Genomic DNA, 11279 nt, shown 5'->3' with positions numbered 1-11279 from the left:
TACTTTACAGTAATCCATTGTAGATTTCAAAATAGCTGAAAGAGAAAAATGCAAATGGTTCCAGCAAAAAGACAAATATTTAAGATGATGGATATTCCAAGTATACTGATTTGATCTTTATAAATTATATCAATGTATTAAATTATCACATATACCCTGAAACTATGTTCATATATTATATATAAATTAAAAATTAAGATAAAAATCAATTTTTTGAACAGATAAAGAGCTGTTTAGACAAAATAATCTTCTTATGTCAGTTTTGGTAATTTGTGTCTTATGAAGAATTTGTCCAATTTATCTATATTTTTCTTTATTTTATTTTTCCATAAGTTATTGGGGTACAGGTGGTATTTGGTTACATGAGTAAGCTCTTTAGTGGTGATTTGTGAGATTTTGGTGCACCCATCACTCGAGCAGTATACACTACACCATATTTGTAGTCTTTTATACCTCGCCCCTCCCACTCTTCCCCCCAAGTCCCCAAAGTCCATTGTGTCATTCTTATGCCTTTGTGTCCTCATAGCTTAGCTCCCATGTATCAGTGAGAACATACGATGTTTGGTTTTTCATTCCTGAGTTACTTCACTTAGAGCAATATTCCCCAATCTCATCCAGGTCACTGCAAATGCTGTTAATTCATTCCTTTTTATGGCTGCATAGTATTCCATTGTATATGTGGTGGACTATACACACACACACACACAAATATATATATTTATATATAATATATAAAATATTTTATATAAATATATATATTTTATATATTATATTATATATATTATATTATATATAATATATAAATATATATATTATATAAATAGTATATTATATATAATATATAAATACTATATATTATATATTATATATTATACATAAATACTATATATAATACATATTATATATAAATACTATATATTATATATAATATATAAAATATTTTATATATTATATATATATATATATATATATATATATATCACAGTTTCTTTATTCACTCGTTGATTGATGGGCATTTGGGTTGGTTCCATGATTTTGCAATTGTGAATTGAGCTGCTATAAACATGCGTGTGCCCATGTCTTTTTTGAATAATGACTTATTTTCCTTTAGGTAGATATCCAGTAGTGGGATTGCTGGATCAAATGGTAGTTCTACTTTTAGTTCTTTAAGGAATATCCACACTGTTTTCCATAGCGGCTGTGAAAGTTTACATTCCCACCAGCAGTGTAGAAGTGTTCCCTATTCACCGCATCTATGCCAACAACTACGGTTTTTTTATTTTTTGATATGGCCATTCGTGCAGGAGTAATGTGGTATCGAATTGTGGTTTTGATTTGCATTTCCCTGATCGTTAGTGATGTTGAGCATTTTTTCATATGGCTATTGGCCATTTGTATATCTTCTTTTGAGAATTGTCTATTAATGTCCTTAGCCCACTTTTTGATGGGATTGTTTTTTTTTTTCTTACTGATCTGTTTGAGTTTGTTACAGATTCTGGATATTAGGCCTTTGTCAGATGTATAGATTGTGAAGATTTTCTCCCATTCTGTGGGTTGTCTGTTTACTCTGCCAGCTGTTCCTTTGGCCGTGCAAAAGCTCTTTAGTTTAATTAGGTCCCAGTTATTTATCTTTGTTTTTATTGCATTTGTTTTCTGGTTCTTGGTGATGAAATCCTTGCCTAAGCCGATGTCTAGAAGGGTTTTTCTGACGTTATCTCCTAGAATTTTTATAGCTTCAGGTCTTAGGTTTAAGTCTTTAATCCATCTTGAGCTGACTTTTGTATAAAGTGAGAGATGAGGATCCAGTTTCATCCTCCTACATGTGACTAGCCAATTATCCCAGCACCATTTGTTGAAAAGGGTGTCCTTTCCCCACTTGATGTTTTTGTTTGCTTTGTCAAAGATCAGTTGGCTGTGTTTGGGTTTATTTCTGGGTTCTCTACTCTGTTCCACTGGTCTATGTGCTTATTTTTATACCAGTACCATGCTGTTTTGGGGACTATGGCCTTATAGTATAGTTTGAAATCAGGTAGTGTGATGCCTCCAGATTTTGTTCTTTTTGCTTAGTCTTGCTTTGGGTATGCGGGCTCTTTTTTGATTCCATACGAATTTTAGAATTTTTTTTTCTAATTTTGTGAAGAATGATGGTGATATTTTGATGGGGATTGCATTCAACTTGTAGATTGCTTTGGGCAGTATGGTCATTTTCACTATATTGATTCTACCCATCCATGAGCATGGGATGTGTTTCCATTTGTTTGTGTCATCTGTGATTTATTTCAGCAGTGTTTTGTAGTTTTCCCTGTAGAGGACTTTCAACTCCTTGGTTAGGTATATTCCTAAGTATTTTATTTTTTTTGTAGCTATTGTAAAAGGGGTTGAGTTCTCGATTTGATTCTCTGCTTGGTCATTGTTGTTGTATAGAAGAGCTACTGATTTGTGTACATTAATCTTGTATCTGTAAACTTTGCTATTTCTTTTATCAGTTCTAGGAGCTTTCTGGAGGAGTCTTTAGGGTTTTCAAGGTAAAAGATCATATTGTCAGCAAACAGTGAAAGTTTGACTTCCTCTTTACTGATGTGGATGCCCTTTATTTCTTTCTCTTGCCTGATTGCTCTGGCTAGGACTTCCAGTACTATGTTGAAGAGGAGTGGTGAGAGTGGGCATCCTTGTCTTGTTCCAGTTCTCAGAGGGAATGCTTTCAACTTTTCCCCATTCTGTATTATGTTGGCTGTGGGTTGGTCATAGATGGCTATTATTACATTAAGGCATGTCCCTCATTATGCTGACTTTGCTCAGAGTTTTAATCATAAAGGGATGCTGGATTTTGCAGAATTTTTTTTTCTGTATCTGTTGAGATGATCATGTGGTTTTTGTTTTTAATTCTGTTTACGTGGTGTATCACATTTATTGAGCTGTGTATGTTAAACCATCCCTGCATCCCTGGTATGAAATCCACTTGATATGGTGGATTATCTTTTTGATATGTTGTTGGATTTAGTTAGCTAGTATTTTGTTAAGGATTTTAGTATCTATATGCATCAAGGATATCAGTCTGTAGTTTTCTTTTTTGGTTGTGTCCTTTCCTGGTTTTGGTATTAGGGTGATGCTGGCTTCATAGATTGAGTTAGGGAGGGTTCCTTCTTTTTCTATCTTGTGGAATACTGTCAAAAGGATTGGTACCAATTCTTCCTTGAGTGGCTGGTAGAATTAAGTTGTGAATCCATCTGGTCCTGGACTTTTTTTGTTGGTATTTTTTAAATAACCATTTCAATCTTGTTGCTTGTTATTGGTATTGGTCTGTTCAGGGTAGCTAATTCTTCCTGATTTAAGCTAGGGGGTTGTATTTTTCCAGGAATTTACCCTTCTCTTCTAGGTTTTCTAGTTTATGTGTGTAAAGGTGTTCATAGTAGCCTTGAATGATCTTTTGTATTTCAGTGGTGTCAGTTGTAATATCTCCTGTTTCGTTTCTTAGTGAGGTTGTTTGGATTTTTTCTCTTCTTTTCTTGGTTAATCTTGCTAATGGTCTATCAATTTTATTTATCTTTTCAAAGAACCAGTAACACTTTTGTTGCTTTTGGATCAATTTAAGAAAAGTAAATTTCCTGTTAGGCTGAAGTGACATGTAGGAGACCACACAGCAAGGTAGTGGTGAAGTCAGTTTTTGACTTTCAGCCCAATACATTTTCCATTCACAACACTTCAATATATATATATTTTTTCTGGAGCCTGACACCATAATTTCAATAGCTTATAAAATTTATGATGGTGGCAGCATGACAAAAGTTAACTCAGAGGAAAATAGTCATACTCAGCCTAAGCATCTGCCTGAGTCATCTGGCACCATATTACAGATAGAAGGTCCCCAGTTCAGTGCACAGCTGGGAGGCATCGTGCTTGGGCTGCGGAAAAACAAGCTTTGGAAGGGTGATAACCTTAAAAAATCGTGTGGATAAACAAACCCAAAACACACGTTGCCTCTCATCTGCTCCAGAGAATGTGACCCTTTGTTTCCTGAGTCTGTTTATTCCACATGGGCACAGTGAACTCCACAGCATGTACTGATGGGGGCAGCATTTTATCCCAATGACATATACTGAGCTACCCGCTTGGCAAAGCACCAGGACATTGTGCAAAATTAACTCTCCTAAGATTCCACTTTCTTTACTTCTCTTGTTCTGTCTTCTCCATCCTCAGTTAAAGCCTGTCATCTGTTCTTAGATTATTGCAGGAATTCCTTAACTGGTCTCCTTTTCTTTGGTCTGCATTCCTCTTACCTCATTCTCTTTGTTATTTCCAGAAATGTCTTTATATTCTAAATGAGACCATGTTATTTCTTTGTTTATTTTTTTTAATGGTAACCTACTGCCTGAAAAATAAAGTTTAAACTCCTTTTTTTTGGGTCAGGCGCAGTGGCCTAGGCAGGCAGGTCACCTGAGGTCAGGAGTTCGAGACCAGCCTGGCCAACATGGTGAAACCATGTCTCTACTAAAAATACAAAAATTAGCTAGGCATGGTGGTGTGCACCTATAATCCCAGCTACTCAGGAGGCTGAGGCAGGAGAATCGCTTGAACCCGGGAGGTGGATATTGCAGTGAGCCGAGATCGCACCACTGCACTCCAGCCTGGGTGACAGAGCGAGACTCTGTCTCAAAAAACAACCAAAAAAGCCCCCAAACTCCTTTTTTTTTTCTCATCCAAGACTTTTCTTCATCTTGAATATTATCTGGTGCCTTGTTTCCTTTGACTCTGGTTTCAGTGGCTCAAATATTATGCAAATTATTGTTTGCCTATGCTTTTGGGTCTACGTTCCTGTTGCTGCCTCTGCCTGCCATGTCCTTCCCATTCTCAGAATATCCCAACTATCTGCCTTGACAAATCCTGGGCTTTCAACACTCAGGTTCAGGGTATACTCCTTTGACCACATGTTCCTAACACTCCTCACCTAGGTCCCTCCTTTGTGTCTCTGCCATTCTCTGCCCTGACATCTATCATGGTTTATAGCATCTAATTTCTTATATGTCTGTCTCTCCTTAATTCGGTATAATTTTCCTATTAAGCCTCAAGTTCATCCTGTCTGCTCAATGTTTTATTCATCCTAATGTTGTTAAAGCCTCACCTAGTCTGGGGCACATGTTAGGTGCTTATTAATGTTTTTTACATTAATGAATAAATCTAGTTGATAAATGCACATCATGACTTATATGTATTGGCCTTTGAGTCTGAGTGACTGAGAAGGATCTTGACGAACACAGGCTAAGAAACTATATTGCTCATATATGTATATATACTATATATATATATATTTTTTTTTTTTTGAGATGGAGTTTCACTCTTGTCACTCAGGCTGGAGTGCAATGGTGCGATCTCGGCTCACTGCAACCTCTGCCTCCTGGGTTCAAGCAATTCTCCTGCCTCATCTTCCCGAGTGCCTGAGGTTACAGGTGCATACCACTACGCCCAGATAATTTTTGTATTTTTAGTAGAGATGGGGTTTCACCATATTGGCCAGGCTGGTCTTGAACTCCTGACTTCAGGTGATCCTCCCACCTTGGCCTCCCAAAGTGCTGGGATTACAGGCGTGATCCACCGTGCCCAGCCTATGTTGCTCATATCTTTGACTTGGTTTCAGATGCTAGGTAAAGATTCATGCTCTGATCCAGGCCATGAAAATGTTCTGTGACTTTGAGAAAGCCACTTTGCCTCTTTGTGCCTGAGATCCTCAGTGGTGAAATGCCATGGCAGTCTATGATAATGCAGTGTGGGATAATGTTAAGAGCTTTGGAGTAGGGCACACTGGGGTTGGAATTCTGTCTCTTCCTACTTTGTTACCTCGACAAATCTTTTATTTTTCTTTAGTTTACTCCTCTGGAAACTGGGAAGCATAACACTTTGTTAGGTAGCATAAGGAGTAAATGAGGTAGTATTTGTAAAGTACCCGTCATTCAGTAGTAGGCATTCAGTTAACTTGGTTCCTTTCCGTTTCTCCTAAAACCAAATCTTTCCTGCCTATCATGAAAGGTTATTTATGAAGACATTTGCAAAATGTAAAATGCTATTCTGTGAAAGGACAGCTTCTCTTTGAATCAGCTTGCTTATTTTTGTTTCAGTGAACATGTGTGAATTGACCGAGTGGAACCGAGGCTTCAGCACTGGGTGAATGGGTTTGGGACTAAGGCTGTCACCAAATCAAAGAGAAATGACACCCAGTGAGCCATGGGCAAAGTATGCATATGGAGCTGACTTTGAAACCTTCACAGTTGTTAAGGGAATTTGAGGTTAAAGTCATGTTTTTTTTAAGGAAGCACCTATTTGGTAGAAAGAGCTTCATGATCCTCATGGGCAAACCCTAAACTGAAACAAAATCTGCTCCTTTCTTTTTCTTATTGTATTTTATTTTACTTTAATTTATTTTTTGGAGACAGAGTCTCATTCTGCTGCCCAGGCTGGGGTGCAGTGGCGTGATCTTTGCTCATTGCAACCTCTGCCTCCCGGGTTCAAGCAATTCTCGTGCCTCAGCCTCCTGAGTAGCTGGGACTGCAGGGGTGCGCCACCATGCTTGGCTAATTTTTTGTGTTTTTTGGTAGAGATGGGGTTTCACTATGTTGGCCAGGCTGGTCTTGAACTCTCAACTGAGTTCAGGCAATCTGCTCATCTCAGCTTCTCAAAGGATCACAGATGTGAGCCACTGCCTGGTCTATTTTTCTATCAAATACAAACTGCCTTCTCTTTTATTATGCTGACCCCATTGCTGTGGTTCCTTTCCATGAAGATATTACTTATTTCCCGGTGTTTAACATCCATTTTTTTTTGGTTTCCTGTTGCTAAAGTTTTCAACTATTTTTGCCATATCTTAGACACTTGACACATTTTTCATGCTCATCATATTCATGTATAATCCATAATATCTCACACTCTGACAGTTCAATATTCTTACCTAAATCCTTCAGTGTCCAACATGAATTTACACCATCTGAGACTGGGTAGCTGGGCCTCAGCATATATAATGGTGGGGAAATATGGTGCTTGAAGGCAAAGTCCTCCTGAAAATAAATTATACCAGATTTCAATGTCTTCTCTTCAGCCTTCATGTTGGAAAGGGCTGACTAAGAGAGTTACATCATTGTTGGCTCTTCTCTTTGGCTTAAAATGTCCTTGCTACGTGCACTAATGTCTCAGGCTCAGGCCTAATATGAGAATTAGCAAAGGAAATTTTATTGGATGTGAGTGTGGAAATAGAATGGGCATTCTTCTGGTAGTGTCAGAGTTCCAGAGGGAGTTATTAAACAGTTTCCAAGTTATTACTGCAAGCAAGTCCACACATATGCACACACACACACACATACATACACACAGACACGCACAAGGATGCCGTTTCTCTGCTTTCTAAATTCTTGCAAGGCCCCAGAACACATGGACATGAATCTACCTATTCTGTGATTCTCTGAGTTTTGGGGAAATATTGGTCTCTGGAAACATCTAATGTCATATAATCATTCATACTCAATGAGAGCCTGACATGCCCAAAGAGACAATTTGTTCTCAGGGGAGCAACAAAACTTATATATTACAATGATGTATGGCCTCAGTACACATAAATATATACAGTATATTTTTGGTATTGAATTTCCTCATAAGGGAGCAATTAGGAAAAATAGCGAATAAAGCTCCCTGAGGGGGCTAATAATTTTTTTTGTGTGTGTGGAAACAAGGTCTTGCAGTATTGTCCAAGCTGGTCTCCAACTCCTGGGTTCAAATGATCCTTTTGCCATGAGTAGCTGCGACTCTAGGCCCTTGGGGCTGCAGGGGGAGCTGATGCGGAGTCTTGGCTCAATATCTCTGTCTTGTAGGACTCAGGGAGGATCATGGATGTATGTCAACTACTAGGATCTTCTTGGCCAAATATTAATGCGTTATAACAGTTTGGTACCTCGCAAAACTTTTTTCAATGTGTTGCAATTTCTTGAGCTTCCTTACTTCTCTTGGATAATTTTTGAATGACTGTTGAAGGCTGAAGGGTGGATTTGAGGTGAGTATAGAGGAAGAAGGAGGATTCATTGTCTTTAGATATCTACTCTCTTGGAATCCTTCCCTTGAGAGAGAGGTGGATTCTAACACAGACCCAGTGGCTATTCCCAAATGACCCCGAATACAATGTGTTTCTTTTCTCTCCTGGAACAAAAAGTGGGCCATGAAGGCATAAAGTGTATTTATTAGACAGGTTTTGTTTTCTTGAACCACCATGATTTGTCTTGAATTGTCTACCCATACATAAACAAAAACTACGGTTTTATTCCAGTCATAAAAGCCCTGAGGGTGAAATGTAAGGAGGGTATAAAGAAGAAAAGGAAGTTCAGGTTAACATAAAAAAAATTGTCTCTGCGCATGTATGTACCAAAACTATACAAGCATCTTTTTAATTTCAGCTGGTAAATCAGTAGACTAGACCTGAGAACAGGAAATACTTGGTCCATGTATAAATTTGTCCATGTACATATTTGACTTACAGTTTAAAATATTCCTTCCATTTTCACTAATTGGTGAAATATACTTAAGATTCTGTACTTAAAATATAAAATCAAGGCCAGGCGCAGTGGCTCACGCCTGTAATCCCAGCACTTTGGGAGGCCGAGGCGGGTGGATCACGAGGTCAGGAGATTGAGACCATCCTGGCTAAAATGGTGAAACTCCATCCCTACTAAAAATACAAAAAATTAGCCGGGCGTCATGGCGGGCGCCTGTAGTCCCAGCTACTCAGGAGGCTGAGGCAGGAGAATGGCGTGAACCCAGGAGGTGGAGTTTGCAGTGAGCCAAGATCGCGCCACTGCACTCCAGCCTGGGCAACAGAGCAAGACTCCGTCCCAAAAAAATAAAATAAAATAAAATAAAATAAAATAAAATAAAATCAAGTGATTTCAATAATTGACTGGATATAGCAGAGTCACCAGAGAAAGCATATATGAAATAAATGTGTCTATATTCTGTGTATATGCACATTTAGGAAGAGAGGGGTAGGTAATAGGGAATGTTGATTGAATACCTGATTAATGCCAGGAGCAGTACTAACCTTCACAACTATCATCCTCACAGCATTGATCACATTTCATTCTTTTGACAAACTTGTGAGCAAGTAATGATATTTCCATATTACTGGTGCTAAAAGTGAGATAAGTGTTGGTATGAGTCACAGGTAACACCAAAAAGCATTTAGGGTATTGATTTCAACCTTATACCCTCTTCTTCTCCTGAGTCCACAAGCTCGATAGCTCACATTGTTTAATCTCATTTCTTCTTTTTGTTTGTATACTCCCGCTAATAGAATCGAGCGGCTATGAAGATATACAATGAAGTAGTGGAAGAAGAGCTAGCGACCTGTTACTCTTAGGCTAGCATTTTGAGAAAACTAAGTCAGACAGACTTCCACTCTCCATCTGACTGCTCACCCCCATTTTCTGCTCTCGGAAGGCCCAAGTCTCCTCTGCAGCCTCTGCATGGCTGACTTCATCTCTTGATTTCTCAGGGAATAGATGATGGGGTTCAGCATGGGGGTAATGACCGTGTTATTAATGGATATGGTTGTGTCCATGGGCAGCGTCATGAAGGGCCGGCAGTAGATGTAAACACAAGGCACGAAGTGAAGAGTCACCACCAGCATGTGGGACGTGCACGTGGAGAGGGCCTTGTTCCGCCCCTCCCCAGAGTGGGATCTCAGCATCACCAGAATGACAGTGTAGGAGCCCAGGAGCAGGAGGAACCAGAGCAGGGTCACCAGTCCGTTGTTAGAGATCATGAAAAGCTCCAAAGCAAAGGTGTCAGTGCAGGCCAGTTTTACCACCTGGAGCACATAACAGTAGAAGGCATCCAGTGTGTTGGGGCCACAGAAGGGGAATGGAAGCATCAGAATTACCTGGATGATTGAATGCAAACCACCACTCACCCAAGAAGCCACCACCAAGGCCACCCACACCTCTTTCCTCATCATGGTCACATAGTGCAGGGGCTTGGCGATTGCAAGGTATCTGTCATAGGCCATCACAGAGAGGAAAAAAATATCTGCCCCACCAGCAAAGTGGAAGAAAAAGATCTGTGCCATGCAGTCATTGTAGGAGATGGTTTTCCTGTCTGATAAAAGATCCACCAGGAACTTGGGGACGGTGATAGATGAAAAAACGATGTCCAGGACTGATTTGTTCCGCAGGAGAAAGTACATAGGAGTGTGTAGGCGGGACTCACAGGTAATAGTGACCACAATGAGTGCATTTCCCAGGACTGTTGCTACATACACAGCAAAGAAGACCACAAACAAGAAAAACTCCAGCTCTCGGGAACGTGTAAGTTCCAGGAAGAAAAACTCCTTCACATTAGTGTGGTTGATCTGGTCCATGATGGGGATGACTCTCTTCCAGGTCCTACCTTTGATGAAGATATGTTAGAACTTGGATTATGGTGACATGAGGTGGCAAAATCATTGATCACATACTGCTCTCAAGCATCCAGGTCATCATGACTACACAGAAAAACTGGGCCAGTCTTCTCTTTGTGGTCTGGAAATTCTTCTTTCATATGGTTCTTCTTTCTTATTGTAAATACCTTGGGTTAACAGGAAAAAACCATCACATGTCTGTATCCTCACTCTGACCAGAGAGAGATGGATGGACTATGGCCATTTGCCTATGCTTTACCAAGGGCTTTCACCTGCAATAGCTCATACTGATTTCAATTCTCATGAAGTTTCTGAAGAGTCTTTAGTATGGTTATCTCCATTTTATATACGGGGAAACTGAAGCTTTACAGCAGTTAATGACTTACATCTGCATAGTCGCAAAATTAGTGAATTGTAAATTGAGGATTCAAATACAAATCAATCTCCTGACTTGAGAAAGATTCCCTCCTTGACCAAATGTTGGTTAGGCTCCTCTGAGCCCTTTTCTTGACTATGACTCAACCTTGACCTTCTGTGTCTGTCTTTGCTGAGCCCAATTTTAACAGGAATCTTGCCAAGTCAGTTTAATGAGAATTCCACACCCTTGAAATCTAATCAAATTCCTCACCCCTTACCCTTTTATATATTTATTATTTTTAACCTCATCCCTCACCCTCAATATCTAAGTCCTTGGCCAGTCTTTAGCAAGAATTCTTTTATGCCAGTTTAGCAAGAACCACCCTACCTTTGATATCACTTCTTAGTAATTTTCAATCCACTGACCTCCCTCACTCTGCTCATTGCTTATAAATCTTCACTTGTTTTCACTATATTTCGAGTTGAGCTCAATCTTTTT

The 11279-nt window shown here is 39.2% G+C and overlaps 1 protein-coding gene across 1 annotated transcript; it reads right to left on the bottom strand.

Annotated features, from left to right (window-relative positions):
• Positions 1-9439: 9439 nt before the first annotated feature.
• Positions 9440-10384, bottom strand: OR4D6 (olfactory receptor family 4 subfamily D member 6). Its single transcript, NM_001004708.1, has one exon. It carries the CDS (start codon positions 10382-10384, stop codon positions 9440-9442), a length of 945 nt encoding a protein of 314 aa, NP_001004708.1.
• Positions 10385-11279: the final 895 nt, after the last annotated feature.

The sequence above is a fragment of the Homo sapiens genome, chromosome 11 (assembly GCF_000001405.40).
Source record: "Homo sapiens chromosome 11, GRCh38.p14 Primary Assembly".
Classification (NCBI taxonomy): domain Eukaryota; kingdom Metazoa; phylum Chordata; class Mammalia; order Primates; family Hominidae; genus Homo; species Homo sapiens.
Note: the sequence above shows the minus strand (reverse complement) of the source record. Positions and strands in the feature narration are given on the sequence as shown.

Excerpts from the sequence above, each read along its gene's own strand:
- OR4D6 (NM_001004708.1), bottom strand. The coding sequence starts at position 10,384 with ATGGACCAGATCAACCACACTAATGTGAAGGAGTTTTTCTTCCTGGAA.